The sequence below is a fragment of the Homo sapiens genome, chromosome 4 (genome assembly GCF_000001405.40).
Source record: "Homo sapiens chromosome 4, GRCh38.p14 Primary Assembly".
NCBI lineage: Eukaryota > Metazoa > Chordata > Mammalia > Primates > Hominidae > Homo > Homo sapiens.
This window is the reverse complement of record NC_000004.12, coordinates 70,742,648-70,761,546: the sequence shown is the minus strand read 5'-3', so window position 1 is coordinate 70,761,546 and position 18,899 is coordinate 70,742,648. Positions and strand designations below refer to the sequence as shown.

The window sequence follows — 18,899 nt, the reverse complement described above, 5'->3', positions numbered from 1 at the left end:
ACAATTTTACAGGGAAGGAAAATGAGACTTAGAGAGTAAAGCTTCAGCTGCTCTGCCCTGACTCACTGTATGACCTCGGGCAAGTCACCATCCCATTTTAGGTCAATCAAATAGTTGCAGCCGGCCCATGGGCACAGACAATAATAAATGACAGAGCCAGAGGCCAGACTCCTCCTGACCATTCTTTTACATGATTATTTTACCTACTTATTCTCTCATCATATTTAGGTATTCTCCCTTCTTTCCGGTGCTAAAGCAGGCCCATAATAGCTAGGTGGTCCAAGGTGTAACAGTTTATAAGTGGCAGAATCTGGACCTGGATCTGACGTGAAAGCTAATGCTCTCTTTACCTTATGCCATGTATATCCTCCCAAACACCAAATATACCAAATTTGTACTGAAAACTAAAGAAGGCCTAGAGCTCTATGATGTATTCCATTTCTTCTTAGGAAGACTAAAAATACTAATAAGGCTATGCTTCCATAATACAAATAAGCCACTTAGCAAAAAACAGACTGTTTAATGCAAATTATCCCAAGCAATTTTCTTCATACAAGGTTTTTATTTATATCTGCTTTCAAAGTTAAATGAGCAGAGTCAAATGGTCAAATTCCAAATTAATCTTCTCATTAAGTTTAAGGACTTACGGATTTGCAATTCCAACTATATAAATCTTGGTTTGTTGTTATGTTGTCTGAGGTTACTTTTGGAGAAACACTTTATGTGAGAGTCAGAATTGGTATATATCACCATTAATTCTTTCTTGCATAACAACAAATGTTTTAGGGCCATAGTTTAAATGTGGCCATAGCTTAAATGTAGATCAACTTGTCAAGGGTAGTATTCTCACAAGAGGACAGCAAAATACATGGAAAACTATGCCCTGAAAGACAGCCATGAAGAAAACTATCAGATATTAATTTCCATTTATTACCAGCATGTATGTACATTCTAGTGTTTCTGACCTCCTATAATTACTCAAAAAAAAAAAATAGAGCTGGGGTGTGGGTATGAATATGTGTAGAGGGCTACTAGCCTTCCCACCTGACACCTCCCAATAGATGGCAGGAGACTATGGTTGGTACTAGATAACTGCCTGCCCATAACTTTGAGGCATTCACTCTGCCTCAAGCCTGTAGACCATTAATTCAGGAACTTATAACAAGATTAAACAATGCTGCTAGTCAAAGTTTACAAGCTGATTCCAACGTAGTGAGAACTAGTCATGTGGTGAGAGATAGACTTGGGTTAAGTAAAAAATATCATATTGAGACATTTTTCCAGAAGTAGTGATAGATTTATACCAACCCATCTACATTTTCTCATCTTGTTCTTCTTATAATCTGCAGCAGAAATGTTTAAGACATCTGGCTGAGGTCTGGAGTGCATGAACTACAGACAGGTTAACTAGCGTCTATGGGAATTAAATTTCTGATATCATGGACTCCATTAGTAAGGTGCTACAATCTATTTAAACTAACTTCCATCAAACATAAACAACCTACCCATTCTTTAAAAAACACTACTCTCAACCTTGGCACTGTTGACATTTTAAGCTAGATAATTCATTTTTATGGGGCTCTGTTCTGAAAACTAATTTTCACAGCAACCCAGTAGTGGGTAACACTAGATGTCAGTAGCACTGACAACTGTTTTTGGTGGGTTAAGACAACCAAAAATGTCTCCAGACACTGCCAAATATTCTTTGGGAGATTAAATCAGGTCCTTCCACATTGAGAACTACTAATCTAAACAAATGAAAGTGAAACAAAAATCTGTTATAGTAATTTGATTGTTAGAGATAAGAGCTTAAAAGTAACAATTCACTCAGAATGGCTATTACTAACAAGACAAAAAATAAAAAATGCTGGTGTGGATGCAGAAAAAAGGGAATTCTTATACACTGTTGGTGGGAATGTCAATTAGTATAGCCTTTATGGAAAACTGTACGGAGGTTCCTCAAAAAACTAAAAGTAGAACTACCATATGATTCAGCAATCCCACTACCAGATATTTATCCAAAGGAAAGGAAATCGATATAACAAAGAGATAGCTGCATTCCCATGTTTAATTCAGCACTATTCACAATAACCAAGATATGAAATCAACCTAAGTGTCATCAACATGAATAAAGAAATGTGGTATACACACACACACACACACACACACACACATACACACACACACACAAATTCAGCCATAAAAAGAATGAAATCCTATGATTCATGGCAACATGGATGAGCCTAAAGGACATTATGTTAAGTGAAATAAGTCTGGGACAGAAAGATAAATACCACATGTTCTCACTCATATGTGGAAGCTAAAAAAGTTGAGCTCATAGAAGTAGAGAGTAGAATTGTGATTATTAGAAAATGAAAAGAGTATGGAGGAGGGGAAGATAGGGAGAGGTTGGTTAACAGATGCAAAGCTACAACTAGATAAGATGAGTAAGTTCTAGTGTTCTGTAGCATTGTATGGTGACTATAGTCAATAATTTTCTTTTTTTTTTTTGAGACAGAGTCTTGCTGTCGCCCAGGCTGGAGTGCAGTGGCACGATCTCGGCTCACTGCAAGCTCCGCCTCCCGGGTTCATGTCATTCTCCTGCCTCGGCCTCCCGAGTAGCTGGGACTACAGGCACCCACACCACGCTGGGCTAATTTTTTGTATTTTTAGTAGAGATGGGGTTCCACTGTGTTAACCAGGATGGTCTTGATCTCCTGACCTCGTGATCTACCTGCCTCGGCCTCCCACAAGTGCTGGGATTACAGGTGTGAGCCACCACGCCTGGCAATAATTTTTTTTTTTTTATATTTTCAAATAGCTAGAAGAGAGGATTTTGAATATTCCCAAAATTAATAAATAAGTGTTTGAGGCAAGAGATATGCTAATTACCCTGATTTGATCATTACATTGTATACATGAGCCAAAATGTCAGTCTGTATCCCTAAATATGTATAATTATTACACATCAAAAATTTTAAAAAGAATATATTGCTCATTGTAAATGAACACAAAAGCTAAAATGAGTATTATTTAATTCTTATTATTAACATTTTTGTGCTGAATAGTATACAAAAGTATGGCTATTTAGTCTTGCTATGTTGCTCAAACTGGTCTTGAACTCCTGGCCTCAAGCCATCCTCCCATGTTGGCCTCCCGAAGTGCTGGGATTAAAGGTATAAGCCACTACACCTGGCCTACAAATAATGTTGGCTGCTAATAATGAATATTAAATCATTAACCTGATTTGTCACAGAATATTTTCTATTCAACATTACTTGTCTTAAATACTATTCAAGTGTAAAATGATTTTGCAAAACTAACCTATCCTGTTAAAAAGGGCTGCAATGACCTGACAGAGTATGGAGGGGCTTCTGAGGGCAGGTGAATTTCTGTTTGTTGGTATGGGTGTTTATTATGCAAGCATGTTGTGTGTGTAACATTGTACTGAGCTGAATACTTATAATATAGGATTCTTTTCTGTGTATTTTGTACTTTTAACTATATAAAGTAAAAAAAGATTCTGTTATATTGTATAAGCCAGAAAGCCATTTTAAAACATGCATGACTTTCATGATATCATCAGTCAAGCTTTTCCTATGAGAAAAATGATTTAAAATTTTAAAATGTTCACAACACTGGCATTTAACACTATCATTCCAATAGAGAACTTTCATGCAATTATTTTTTTCAATACATATTGAACATCTACTATGTGTTAGATATTGTTTTAATGCTAGAAATACAGAGGTAATAATAGACTTAGTCCCTGCCATCAAAGTGCTTACTATTTATCGCAGTTGGTTAATACAAACTTATAGAGAACAAATAGGGCAGTGTACAGCAAACACCTGAAATTTCAGGATAAACATAATCATATTTAACAAAGATCAATTTTATTCCAGGACAAATATTTTATTTTATTTTAATTTTTTAATTTTTCAGATGGAGTTTCACTCTTGTTGCCCAGGCTGGAGTGCAATGGCGCGATCTTGGCTCACTGCAACCTCGTCTTCCTGGGTTCAAGTGATTTTCCTGTCTCAGCCTCCCAAGTATCTGGGATTACAGGCATGTGCCACCACGTGCGGCTAGTTTTGTATTTTTAGTAGAGACAGGGTCTCACCATATTGGTCAGGCTGGTCTCAAACTCCTGACCTCAGGTGATCCACCTGCCTCGGCCTCCCAAAGTGCTGGGATTACAGGCATGAACCACCGCGCCCGGCCCAGAACAAATAATTTTAAATGTTCCATTTGTTTTGTTTTGATTTTTGAGGCAGGATCTTGCTCTATCACCCAGGCTGGAGTGCAGTGGCACGATCACAACTCACTGTAGTCCCAATCTCCCAGGCTCAAGTGATTCTCCCATCTCAGCCTCCTGAGTACCTGGGATAATAAACAGGTGTGTGCAACCATGCCCGGCTAATTTTTTTTTTATTTTTTGTAGAGACAGGGTCTCCCTATGTTGCCCAGCTGGTCCCAAACTCCTAAGATCAAGTGATCCTCTCACCTCAGCCTCCCAAAGTAATGAGATTACAGGCATGGGTCGCCATGCCCAGCTAATTAAAAAAATTTTTTTTTTGTTAAATGACATAAACCTATTCTATGGAAATGTTAGTTTTCTACATTTCTTAAAACTAAGATAATTGATGTCATTAATTTAGGGTTTCAGGCAGGCTGTAAGCATAATACAATTTCCTCTGACATTGGGTGCACTTCTGTGGAGAAGACTGAGAAGTACTGCAACTACACTGCAGTAAGAACTCCAACAATGGTATATACAGGATACCAGGGGAATATGCATAGGAGAAAGGTATCTGACCTGGCTCCCTATTTTTCCTTCAATTTTAGGGGCCCCGTGTGTTTCTATAAATCCTCAGAGGATGAGACTTTTGAGTTCAATCTTAAAGGATAAAAAGAAAGGAGTCACGTAAGGAAGGGGTAGCAGTAGAGATGTGAAGGGAACAGGATGGAAGGAATAGCTTAGGTAAAGGTACAGAAGTATGGAAGAACATAACATACACAGAAGAAAAACAACACTGAAAAAATGCCAGGGGTTTAAGTATTAGAGATGAGACAAGAGAAAGAGACAAGGGCAGACTGCTAAGGACCTTGTTTAAGGAGTACAGATTTCACCTTAAAGTCAGTGAAGACTTTAACGTGGGATGTGATGTCACAAATTTGAATTTTAGAGAAGCCATTCTTGCATCCTTTTGGAAGATGATTGGAAGGGTGCATGAACTCAAAGCTGAGGGGCAAGTAAGGGTCTACTGCAATGGCAGAGGAAAATAAATAATAAAGGGTAGAACTAGAGCAGTGGGGCTGTATGGAGAAGAGGGAGTCAGCATGGAGAGACATTCTGGGGTAGAACGTTAGCATTTCATAGCTTGACTATCTGGACATAGTCAAGGAGAATGGAGAGTAACTTCCCTATTTGTAGTTTTGGCGATTAGATGGACGATGGTGCAGATCACATTGGTGGGGAATACAGCAAGAGCACTGGACTAAAGAAATCATGTGGAAGTGACTATAGTTAAAATAATACATTATGTTGACTGGTTCTCAAATCAATGTTCTTTTTTTCCTTTTTTTTTTTTTCGAGACAGAATCTCGCTCTGTCACCCGGGATGGAGTGCAGAGGCGTGATCTCAGCTCACTGCAAGTTCCGCCTCCCAGGTTCACGCCATTCTCCTGCCTCAGCCTCCTGAGTAGCTGGGACTACAGGCACCTGCTGCCACGCCCGGCTAACTTTTTGTATTTTTAGTAGATACGGAGTTTCACTGTGTTAGCCAGGATGGTCTTGATCTCCTGACCTCGTGATCCGCCCGCCTCAGTGTCCCAAAGTGCTGGGATTACAGGCATGAGCCACCGTACCCGACCTCAATGTTCTTTCAAAAAGCATGTGATTCTTCACTGTATCTCTTCAAGACTGCTAATTTCCATATAAGGGTATTTTAATAAACTTTACAGAGTCATGTAGCTCATTTAGTTAATAGTGATGATAAAAGTGATCTGAAGTCATATAGCTAACAGTGACAGTGAGTCATATTGTTCTGAAAACAAATCATGTCACCAAGGTGCCATTTTATCTTCTTATAATGCAATGACTAATGTTCATACAGCAAAATCTTGAAATGTTTTCTAAATAATTGAAGGAAAAGAAAGATATATTTAATATTAGTATTAAGTATGTTATATGCAATTCTTGGCAGAGAATAATTGATATTAATATGTAGCACAATCATAGTTATTCTTCAGAATTTTCTTATTATCTAACAGATTAAAGCTTTTATCTTATATAAGAAACAAAATGGTTATCACACAGAAGACTTTTCAAAGATGTGTAAAAGCTTTTGGCTGGGCGCAGTGGCTCACGCTGGTGGCTCACGCGGTGGCTCAGGGAGGATCATCTGAGGTCAAAAGTTTGAGACCAGCCTAGCCAACACAGTGAAACCTCGTCTTTACTAAAAATACAAAAATTAGCTGGGCATGGTGGCAGGCGCCTGTAATCCCAGCTACTAGGGAGACTGAGGCAGGAGAATCGCTTCAACCCGGGAAGCGGAGGTTGCAGTGAGCCAAGATCACACCACTGCATTCCAGCCTGGGAGATAGAGTGATACCCCCGTCTCAAGAAAAAAAGAAAAAAAAAAAAGCTTTAATATGAGATTAAAAACAACAAACTAACAGAAACATATAGAAAGAAAAGCTTACTCTATGTTGGGAATGACTGAAGAACAATAATTTTAAATAAATCTATTTTGAACTTTTGCAATAATTGTTCTTAGAGTATAAAACTGGACAGAAAATGAGTCCTTGATTGTGAAAGAAAGAAGTGAAAGTACTAAAAAGACCTTAGCGTATAAAACTGGACAGAAAATGAGTCCTTAATTGTGAAAGAAAGAAGTGAAAGTACTGAAAAAGACCTTGTAATAAAACACCATTTAGTTAGCCTGATGACACTTATTTGTATGAGACAATCATGAACTTTTATTCTATCCTCATTTACAAAAAAAAAAAAAAATTATAATAGAGTCTTAGGACCCTTAGAATATCTATATATCTATATCCATAACTATATCTATCTATTCTTAATGGCGTCTCAGGTATCATATTTCTACTCAATAATAAGAAAATTTACTTAAGTAACATTTTCTCTGGATTGAAATCTGTTAAAGGGGTTAGTCAAAAAAATTAACCAGCCAGGCTTGGTGGCTCACACCTGTAATCCCAGCACTTTGGGAGGCCGAGGCAGGTGGATTACCTGAGGTCAGGAGTTCGAGACCAGCCTGGCCAACATGGGGAAGCCCCATCTCTACTAAAAGTACAAAAGTTAGCTGGGTGTGGTGCCAGGCACCTGTAATCCCAGCTACTCAGGAGGCTGAGGCAGGAGAATCACTTGAACCCGGCAGGCAGAAACTGCAGTGAGCCAAGATTGTGCCATTGCACTCCATCCAGCCTGGGCGACAACAGCAAAACTCCATCTCGAAAAAAAAAAAAAAATTAACCATAAATTTACTTGTCCTCATTGCTACCTTTTCTTGGTAACAGTATAATCAATGATGAACTTCACTGAGTTAGGACTTGTCATCAGAAAGGATTAATATACTCATCCATGGAGCCAATTAACCTATTATATGACTTCAGGCAAGAAATCTCACCCCTTTGAAGCTTCAATTTCCTCATCAGTAAAATGAGAGGGTTGGGCTTGTTCAGTTTTTTCCCTTGGAAACCATGCACATTCATAATAGTCATAATGACATATAGCAGCACTGATTCTCAAAGGGAGAGACATATTAATATACCTGGAACCAGAGAAATGACATGTTCTGTTTGGAAAATCCCACAAATGATTGATACCAAATGAACTAGATCCTTTCTACTCTCTGGTCTCAGAACATCAACACTGGCATAACCAGGAAAGCTTTTAGACAAGGGAAGCTGTAGACTTCAACACTACCACTGAATCAGGTTTTGCACTTTAACTAGATCCCCAAGCAATCTGTATGTGCATTAAAGTTTGAGAAGCACTGGCCTAGATCACTCTCCTAGCTAGCATATTATAATTCCATGATTTCACAGTTGGCTTCATCAAGGGCAACCAACATACATGTATATAAGTAGAAAGCCCTAGGAGGAAGGAAATAATAAAGATTAGATCAGAAATAAATTAAAAAGCAAAAACAACTACTGAGAAAAATCAATAAAATCCAAAGTTGGCTCTTTGACAAGATTAACAATACTGACATTTAGCTAGACTGATCAGTAGAAAAGGGAGAAGATTCAAATTACTAAAATCGGGAATGAAAGAGGGGACAGTAGTATTGACATTACAGAAACAAGGATTATAAGGGAATACTACGGACAACTGTATGTCAACATATTAGATAATCTAGACAAAATGGACAATTTCTTAGACACAAACTACCAAAACTGACATAAGAAGAAATAGGAAATCTGAACAGACCTACAAGTAAAGATCCTGAATTAGTAATAATAATAAAAAAATAGCATACAGAGGAGGCCAGGACCAGATAGTCTCGTTGTTAAAATCTACCAGTCATTTAAGGAATTGACACCAATCCTTGACAGACTATTCCAAAAATTAGAAGAGAGAACTTCCGAACTCATTCTATGACACTAATATTACCTTGAGACCAAATCAGATAAAGATATCATAAGAAAACTATAGATCAATACTCCTTATGAATACAGACACAAAAATCCTTAACAAAATACTGGTAAACCAAATCCAGAAACATATAAGAAGGATTATATAACTGGACCAAGTGGGATTAATCACAGAATGCAAGGTCGGTCCAACACACAAAACTCAATCAGTGTAATACACCAAATTAACAGAGTAAAGAAAGACATCACATGGTCATTTCATTAGAAGCAGACAAAGTACTTGACAAGTTCCAATATCCATTAATGATAAAAACATTCAACAAACTAGGAAGAGAAAGAACTTCCTTAGCTTGACAAAGGGCATCTACAAAAAACTCACAGCTAACAAACTTGATGGCAAAAGACTGAAGGCTTTCTCAAAGATCAGGAACAAGACAAGGATGCCCACTTTTGCTACTTCTAACCAAATTGTATAGGCGAGTCTTGCCAGGGCAAGTAGGCAAGAAAAGGAAATGAAAGGCATCCAGTTTGAAAAGGAAGAAGTAAAACTATATTTGCAGATGACATGATCTTGTATATAAAAAATCCTAAGGAATCCACACACACACACACAAAGTATGTACATAAAATGAGTTTGGCAAGGTTGTAAGGTACAAGATCAATACACAAAAATTAATTATATTTGTATACATTAGCAACAAACAATTCGAAAAAGAAATTTAAAAACAATTCCATTTACAATAGCACCAGAAAAATATTTACCAATAAACTTAACAAAAGAAGTACAAGACTTGTACATGGAAAACTATAAAACTTTGCTGCAAGAAATTTTAAAAGATCAGGCTGGGCGCGGTATCTCACGTCTGTAATCCCAGCACTTTGGGAGACCTAAGTGGGTGGATCACTTGAGGTCAGGAGTTCAAGACCAGCCTGGCCAACATGGTGAAACCCCATCTCTACTAAAATTACAAAAATTATTATTTGCAACAAATGGTGGTAGGATAATTGGATATCCAAATGCAAAATAATTTTTTAAAAAGCTCAAAATAGATCTGAGACCAAAGTGTAAGAGCTAAAACTATAAAACTCTTAGAAGGAAACACAGGTCTAAATATTTTATAACCATAGGCTAGGCAATGGTTTAGCAACAAAAGAAAAAATAGGTAAGGTGGACTTCATCAAAAATAAAAACATTTGTGTTTCAAACGACATCATCAAGAAAGTGAAAAGACAACCCACAGAATGGCAGAAAATATTTGCAAATCAGATCCAATATCCAGAATGTATAAATAATTATTATGATTTAACAACAGAAGAGAAATAATCCTAGTAAAAAAGAATGGGCAAAGGCTTGAAATATACATTTCTGCAGAGAAGATAGACAAATGGCCAGAAAGCATATGAAAAGATGCTAATTAGAGAAATACAAATCAAGATGAGATACCTTTTCACACTCACTAGGATAACAATAATAATTATTCATTGAAGCAAATGGTATTAGCAAGAATGTGGAAAACTGGAAACTTTTGTGCCTTGCTTGTAGGAGTGTAAAATGGTCCAGCTGCTTTGGCAGTCTGGCAATTCTCCAAAAAATTAAACATATGAGTTATTTGACCCAGCAATTCAACATTTTCAATATGAAAACATGTCCACACATCATAAAAATGCCAACAATAGACACTGAAGACTACTAGAGGGTGGTGGGAGGGAAGCAGAAAAACTAACTGTTGGGTACTATGCTCACTACCTGGGTGACAGGATCCATCATACCCCAAATCTCAGCATCACACAGTATACCCATGTAACAAACCTGCGCATGTAGCCCCTGAATCTAAAACAAGAGCTGAAATTATTTAAAAAATATATCCACACAAAATGTATGCATTAATGTTCACAGTATTATTCATAATTTGCCCCAAAGTGAAACAAGCCAAATGTCCACCAACCAATAGACAAAATATGATATGCCCATACAATATTATTAATCCATAAAAAGAAATGAAGTTACGATACATGCTACAACATGGATAACCCTTGAAAACATATACTAAGTGAAAGAAGCCTGACACAAAAGACCACATATTTTATTTTTGTTTATATAAAATGCCCAGAATAGGCAAATCTATGGAGAGAGACATATGTAAATACTTGAAGAAGCCCCTCAAAAAAAAACTGCAGAGACAGAAAATAGACTAGTGGTTGCCAGCGGCTGGGAGGAGGAAGAATAGAGAGTGGTTATTAATGGGTACAGAGTTTCTTTTTAGAAAAGGTGATGAAAATATTCTTCGATTAGAGAGTGGTGATGGATGCACAGCTTTGTGACTATACTAACCACCACTGAATTGTACACTTTAAAGTGGTGACCTTTATGGTATGTGAATTGTACCTCAATAAGGCTATTATTAGAAAAAAACCACTAAAGTTTTTAGACATAATAATAATATATAACTTGTATGTTTCTTGATTCAAATAAACCAACTATAAAAAGACATATTTGAGACAATCAACAGACTTTGAAAATGGGCTGAGACACTATAAGACTTTGTTGTTAATTTTGTTAGCTCTGACACTGAAGGATTTACAGGTGCTGAGATGTAATGTTTGGAGTTTGCTTTAAAATGCTCCAGAAACAAAAATGGAGGTATTAGATTAAATAAGATTGGCAATAATTACTGAAGCTGGTGATGGAGATATTTAAGTTCATTAAGCTATTCTTTTTACGTACTATAAAAAGTTGTGTAATTAAGCTGGACTTGGTGGTACGCACCCATAGCCCTAGCTACTCGGGGCTGAGGTAAGGCAGGAAGGTCACTTGAACCAAGAGTTCAAAGTTACAGAGAGCTACGAGAGCTATGATCATGCTACTGTACTCTGGCCTGGGCAACAGGGTTGAGACCCTGTCTCTTTAAAAAAAAAAAAAAGTTTCATAATTAAAAGTAAAAAATTTAAAGTAAAAGTAAAATTCTGGCTGGGCACAGTGGCTCACACCTGTAATCCCAGCACTTTGGGAGGCTGAGGCTGGCAGATGGATAGCTTGACCTCAGGAGTCAAGACCAGGCTAGGCAACAAGGTGAGACCCCCTCTCCATAAAAAACACACAAAAAATTAGCTGGGTGTGGTGGTGCAAACCTGTAGTCCCAGCTCCTTGGGAAGCTGAGGTGGGAGGATGGCTTGAGCCTGGAAAGTGTAAGCTACAGTGAGCTGTGCCACCACCTTCTAGCCTGGGCAACAGAGTGAGATCCTGTCTCAAAAAAAAAAAAAAAAGACAAGACAAGAAAAAAGTAATTCTGCTTTCTCTTACTCCAGGTCAAGGTTTAGCTGCTGGCCTCCTGTAAGAAGGTAAGAAGAAACTAGTGTAGTTTCTTCTACCTCCGTATATAACCAAAAAAAAAAAAAAACCCTTTTGATGGGCTTTAGCATTGAAATGAGTCAGCTTACTTAACCAAAACCATTATTTTCATATACTCTTACTCATTCTTGGTTAGGTATACATTTCTCTAATCTTTAATAGATTAAAAAAAAATATATTAGCTTGCACAAGAGTTCCCTAGGAAACACACTGATTTCTTCTTCATTGGGCTCCCATATCATAATATAATCAATTTTAGTTTTGGAAAGTTTCCCAGACTTCTTCAGTTACCTTTACCTGAGAATTCCATGCTGCAGAAGAATACCTAGAAGATTTCTGGAAACATTTAGAAGTTAGGACAAACCTTCGTTGTTTTGATACAACATAAGAAATTTAGGTGGTAAATACAACCCAAGAATTCCTTGGTTTGCTCAATTTATTGCATAGAAATAATTTAAATGTTTTGGGCTTTACCTAGGTATAAAAAAAAGAAAAGAAAAGAAAAGAAAAACAATGTAAATGGATGTGAGAGGGCAATCGCAGTTAGATCTATGATCTAGAAGGGTTAGATCTGTCTCTCTCATATTCCCTGAGTGATGTTGGGGGAAATCCTCATTCTTCTGTTTCATCTGTAAAATGTTGGGGAAGACAATCCTCCTTGGACCTCTTGGGCACCTACATTTCTTTACTGGGTTATGTCAAGACTATACGGCCCTGACCACTCTTTCCTGGGCCATTTATGAACCTGATAATGAGAGACGAAGCTTTCCTACTGCTTCCTATAAAAACAATGGGTTCTCCCAACTTGGCCTTCTTCATCTGCAACACAAACCTACCACGTGTGAAGCATGTCACTGAGCCATCCAGTGTCACCCCATGGGACTCTGGTCCAAGAAGAACTGGCACAGATATGCAGATGCTCAGGCTGCTTGCACTGTCATGAGTAATAAAGTCCTTTATCTCTGACCTAGGAGTCTTGTGTCTTTTGCCAGCATCCAAGAAACAGCAAGAGGCTTTATTAATTTGTTAAAGCAGGTAAACCTCAGACCTGACAAAAACCAGGAATAACCACTGTCCTTAGTTTAACTCCCTGGAATATTGTACATTTGTACTTCAAATGAGATAACACCAAAAGTAATATGAATAAAAGTGTGATAAATCTCAATATACTGCAGTACTTGAGGTAGATCCTAAATGTCGTGGTATCACAGAACACATGAAGGACGGTATTCCAAGTGGTTGGAATGGGTGTGTGAAGTCAGGTGGAGAAAATAAGAGTGGAAGAGGGAGTTCTTACTGGGGAGAACTGGAAAACACAGGTAGGGTAGAGTCAGATAAAGAGGTCTCTGAAACTAGACTTGGATATTAATGGAGGAAGCAATGGGAACCACTGTAGTTTTGAGCAGAGAATCAGCGTGCCTAAAATTTTGTTTGGAGATGACTAATCTGAGAAGATTACGCAAAATGAATTTGAGGGAAGAGAATCAAAATGGTCTGCCACGAAGAACTGTAGTGATTCAAGTTCAGATAGTCATAGAAAAGATAAAGGAAATGAAGGGGTCAAGAATAACACCAACATTTTTGCCCTGAGAGACTGGAAGAGTGTGCTATAAAGGGAAATGAAAAAGTTGAGTAACTGTTATGGAGATAAAGGGCAAAATAAACTTGGTTTTGGATATCATAAAGGATATTTATGTGGAAGGATTCTCAACATATTATTTTTAAAGACAAGGTCTCACTATGTTGCCCAGGCTGGACTTGGACTCATGGGCTCAAGCAATCCTCCCACCTCAGCCTCCTGAATAGATGGGTCTCCAGGAATGCAACCACCATGCCCAGCTTTCAAGATATTTTTGATCACCTAGTTGTAAATGCAAATGGAAGTTTGGACTTAGAGAGTCATCAGCATAGGACAATAATAGCAGTTATGAGAAAAGATGCTTTCACAAGGAGATGTTTTAAAGAGAAATAGAAGGATGCAAGGTTACTAGCCCAGCCTTTAAAGTATGCCCACGATTACAGGCTGGAAACAGAGCCAAAACAGTCCTTTCAGGAATTTGTTTTTTTTTTTTTGCACACACCTAGACAGTGGCTACCGTACAAATGGATGTATATACCAGAGAGGCAGCACAGGATACTGGAGTGTCTTTCAAACAAAGGTCACAACCCTTTAGTGGGTCACAAAATCAATTTAATGTCCTATATAGTAAGGCTATGTATTGTTTCATGAAACTTTTGTTTTAAGATACATACAAATAAATGATGTGTGTACTGAGTTCTGATGAAGATGTATTTTTACAGTTGTTCTTGTGTCAAATAAGTTTAAACAATTTTGGTGTAGTGGTTAACAGCACAAGCTCTAAAGCTGGTCTGTGGGAGTTTGAACTCTATTCAAACTCTTCCCTAGCTGTGTGACCTTGGGAAAAGTTTTTTCTCTTGTTGCATTTTCTGTTTTGAGATAATTGAGGAATCACATGAAATTGTAAGAAATAATATCGAGAGATACCATGTACTTTTAACCTAGTTCTCCCAAGGGTATCTTGCAAAACTGTAGTACATTATCACAACCAGTATACTGATGTTGAATTACAGTCAAGACACTGAACATTTCCATCACGACAAGGATCCCCCATATTGATGTTTTATAGCCATGCCCACATCTCTCCTTGCCCCTACTCCATCCTCAACCCATGCCAACCACTAATCTGTTCTTCATTTCTATACTTTCATCACTTCAAGACTGTTATGTAAATAGAATCATATAGTATGCAACCATTAAAATTGACTTTTTGTTATTCAGCATAATTCTCCGAAGAATCATTCAGGTTGTTGCATGTATCAGTGGTCTCTTCCTTTTTACAACTGAGTAGTATTTTGCTGGGAAACTTTCTTAACCTCTGTATGTGTCACTTTCCTTATCTATAAAATGGTGACAGGGTTCTGAAGAGTAAACAAGTTCTTATACGTAACCATTTAGAAGTGCTTGGAATATACTAAGGAAAAAAGTTGTTAGCTACTGCAATTATTATGGTCTTCCATGTACATAACTTTTTTTTTTTTTTTTTTTTGAGACAGTCTTGCTCAGTCACCCAGGCTGGAATGCAATGGTGCAATCTCGGCTCACTGCAACCTCCAACTCACAGCTTCAAGTGATTTTCTTGCCTCAGCCTTCTGAGTAGCTGGGACTACAGGCACCCGCCACCATGCCTGGCTAATTTTTTTTTTTTTTTTTAAGGAGTCTTGCTCTGTCAACCAGGCTTGAGTGCAGTGGCATGATCTTGACTCACTGCAACCTCCGCCTCCCGGGCTCAAGCGATTCTCGTGCCTCAGACTCCCAGGAACTGGGATTACAGGCGCCTGCCACCATACCTGGCTAACTTTTTGTATTTTTAGTAGAGACAGGGTTTCACCATGTTGCCCAGGCTGGCCTTGAACTCCTGGCATCAAGTGATCCGCCCACCTTGGCATCCCAAAGTGCTAGGATTACAGGCGTGAGCCACCACGCCCCGCCAATTTTTTTGTTGTTGTGTTTTGAGAGGGAGACTCACTCTATTGCCCAGGCTGGAGTGCAGTGGCGTGATCTCAGCTCACCGCAACCTCTGCCTCCCAGTTTCAAGCAATTCCTCGCCTCAGCAATTTTTTGTATTTTTAGTAGAGACGGGTTTTGTCATGTTGGCCAGGCTGGTCTTGAACTCCTGACGTCAAGTAATCTGCCTGCCTCGGCCCCGCAAAGTACTGGGATTATAGAAGTGAACCACCACTCTAAGCCATTATAACAATTTTGTTTAACTTAATAAGCTTATTGAATGACGATGTGGCACAGTGCTAGAAGCTAATAAAATCTCTTAAGATATGTTTCTTCTGTTTTTCAACATGCATCAAGTCTTAACACCCTCTGCCCCCAAATGCCAAGGAACCAGTATGCAATTTTGGTAGGTAATATTTTACACAGGTATATTATTGCCTAAATTCAAGTACTGTCCTGACTATTTTAATCCTCAGAGAGACGGGCAGTAATCTGGGCCACTGCAAATTTACAAAATCTGTTCAAAAGGCTTGTAATGAGTACAGACAGAAATCCGATATTTATTGAAAAACTAAAGGTAATAAGCTATGTGCCTTTCATTATTTAATTTAATGTTCATAATTTCCCTAGTGAGTTTCAAAACATTTTAGACACAAATTACTAGCATATAAGGAAAGGAGATGCAATATAATAGGTGTTGTACATCATACAATTGTACCCTAAGAAGACACTTCATATTCTAGTAGATATAAGTTACAAACACATAGAATATGAAACTAATCATCACTGTAAAAAATAGTTCAGGCCGGGCGCGGTGGCTCACACTTGTAATCCCAGCACTTTGGGAGGCCAAGGCGGGTGGACCACGAGGTCAGGAGATTGAGACCATCCTGGCAAACATGGTGAAACTCCATCTCTACTAAAAAATGCAAAAATTAGCTAGGCATGGTGGTGTGCACCTGTAGTCCCAGCTACTCAGGAGGCTGAGGCAAGAAGAATCACTAGCAGAGGCTGCAGTGAGCCGAGATTGCACCACAGCACTCCAGCCTGGGCAACACAGCAAGACTCCCATCTTCTAAAAAAATTCAAAAGGGCTGGGCACAGTGGCTCATGTCTGTAATCCCAGCACTTTGGGAGCCTGAGGCGGGCGCATCACCTGAGGCCAGGAGTTCGAGACCAGCCTAGCCAACATGGTGAGACCCTGTCTCTACTAAAAATGCAAAAATTAGCCAGATGTGGTGGCATGTGCCTGTAGTCCCAGCTACTCAGGAGGCTGAGGCAGGAGAATTGCTTCAATCTGGGAGGTGGAGGTTGCAGTGAGCTGATATCATAGCATTGCACTCCAGCCTGGGCAACAAGAGCGAAACTCCATCTCAAAAAAAAAAAAAAAAATTCAAAATAAGAAGCTTCAATTGTGACAGAACTGAAACAAAAAACAAAAACAACGACCAGTTCAAATCTGCAACCCACTAGAGTCTGTTATTTTAAAAATTTTTAGGAGGCCAGAAGCCAGTGTTAACACTCTATCTATTAAAAAGCAAACTATAGCCGGGTTCGGTGGCTCAAGCCTGCAATCCTAGTGCGTTGGGAGGCTGAAGTGGGAGGATCGTTTGAGCCTAGGAGTTTGAGACCAGCCTGGGCAACAAAGTGAGACCCTGTCTCTACATACATACATACATACATACATAAAAATTAGCCAGGTGTGATGGCACATGCCTGTAGTCCCAGCTACTCAGGAGGCTGAGGAAGGAGCCTGGGAGTTCGAGGCTGCAGGAAGCTATGATCATGCCACTGCACTCCAGCCTGGGCAACAGAGTGATACCTCGTCTCAAAAAAATAAAATAAAATAAAATAAAATTTTAAAAAAGCCAACTGTTATGGCCCATCTGCAATAACAGATGAGAAACAGCATTGAAAACAGCTTAGCAGTTGAAGGTCTCCAGAAAAGATCTGAGCCTGCATATATCATCAGCTTTTTCTGAGTCTGAAATGAGGATTCTTCCCAGACCCTGAATTGCTATTGTGTGTTATGTGCAGGTAATACTCCATAACTTATTTCTTCTTAGTACTAGCACTTATTTATAACATCTCCAAGTTACGTAATACAGTTGTGTGAAATGCTGGAATTTTACATAACTGTGATTGAGACCATGAGGCAAGAAAAGCAGAGAAGGATATCAAGAAGAATGAAATTATCAAAAGAGTTAAAGTGAAGCCATCTCCCTCTCCCCATTCTCATTTTTTTTTTTAACTACTTTTCAGAAAGACTTTTCTGTAAAGAGGATCTTGATCAACATTACCATATATCACTTGACTGGAAATCTATTAAGATCATGAAGGTACTGACATAATCAACATTTTCTGGATATTTTATGTACTATACTGTTAAAGTTCATCTTCTCTCCCTTTTGGAGTTCACCTATAATAACCATCGACAAAAATCCCAGCAAAAACAAAATTAAAAAAAAGGAGTCTGACTCTCACAGTAAGCTTGACTCTTGCATTATTAATACTTTGTATTAAAGAAATAGAATCTTGCCTGTGATGAGTCATGGTAAAGTTCTCAAGAAGGGGATAAACTTTATGTAGCATTTTCCTTTAATATCTAGTCTATCAAAGGAATTAAAGCCTTAAACCTGGTGGTGCCTAGCCAATAATTAATAATAATGATAATAGGCCAGGCACAGTGGTTCACACTTGTAATCCCAGCACTTTGAGAGGCTGAGGCAGGTGGATCACTTGAGGTCAGGAGTTCGAGACCAGCCTGGCCAACATGTTGAAACCCCGTCTCTACTAAAAACACAAAAAAATTAGCCAGGGATGGTGGTATGCACCTATAATCCCAGCTACTTAGGAAGCTGAGGCAGGAGAATTGCTTGAACCCCAGGAGGCAGAAGTTGCAGTGAGATGAGATCGCTCCACTGCACCGCAGCCTGGACGATGGAGTGAGATTCCATTTCAAAATAAATAAATAAATATAATAATAATAATAATAGCAGCTAACACAATAGTAAACATTACACACTAAATGAATCAACATCCTTCTCTTTTTTCTTGTCTGTGAACTGTCAATCAACTAGACAATACTGATTTGTTCTTTCACTGAACTATATGTAATCAGTTATATTAAAAGCAGAATCAAAGATGGCATAAAAATAGTTTGACCAAAGGAAAAGAGATGACACTCAGGATTTCAGAATTCACACATTCAAAGGCAAGGGCTGAAACAGAAGATACTCTTGGGCATCAACAGAGAGGGTAAAGCTGCCTTGATTTTGTTTGGTAATGACCAGATCTACTGAGGGCAGTACTCGTCCCAGGTCTGATTAAGGATACCAAGAAGTTTAAGACAATCTCTGTTCTCAAGGAGTTTACCCTTTAACTAGGTTGATAAACACA

General features: G+C 38.4%; 1 protein-coding gene across 21 annotated transcripts in view, besides 3 other annotated features; it reads right to left on the bottom strand.

Moving 5' to 3' along the window:
• The window catches only part of RUFY3 (RUN and FYVE domain containing 3), a 104,853-nt gene that overhangs the window by 47,073 nt on the left and 38,881 nt on the right, over positions 1-18,899 (bottom strand). The window lies entirely within an intron of this gene.
• Positions 11,829-11,928: a silencer, noted in NCBI's record as "silent region_15469". NCBI's record gives its function as "represses an Ori minimal core promoter by ATAC-STARR-seq in GM12878 lymphoblastoid cells {active_cell/tissue: GM12878}" and the evidence as "EXISTENCE:reporter gene assay evidence [ECO:0000049][PMID:35858748]".
• Positions 15,002-15,501: an enhancer, noted in NCBI's record as "H3K4me1 hESC enhancer chr4:71611763-71612262 (GRCh37/hg19 assembly coordinates)". NCBI's record gives its function as "activates a minimal SCP1, AML or CMV promoter by ChIP-STARR-seq in primed H9 embryonic stem cells {active_cell/tissue: H9 hESC(primed)}" and the evidence as "EXISTENCE:reporter gene assay evidence [ECO:0000049][PMID:30033119]".
• Positions 15,502-16,003: an enhancer, noted in NCBI's record as "H3K4me1 hESC enhancer chr4:71611261-71611762 (GRCh37/hg19 assembly coordinates)". NCBI's record gives its function as "activates a minimal SCP1, AML or CMV promoter by ChIP-STARR-seq in primed H9 embryonic stem cells {active_cell/tissue: H9 hESC(primed)}" and the evidence as "EXISTENCE:reporter gene assay evidence [ECO:0000049][PMID:30033119]".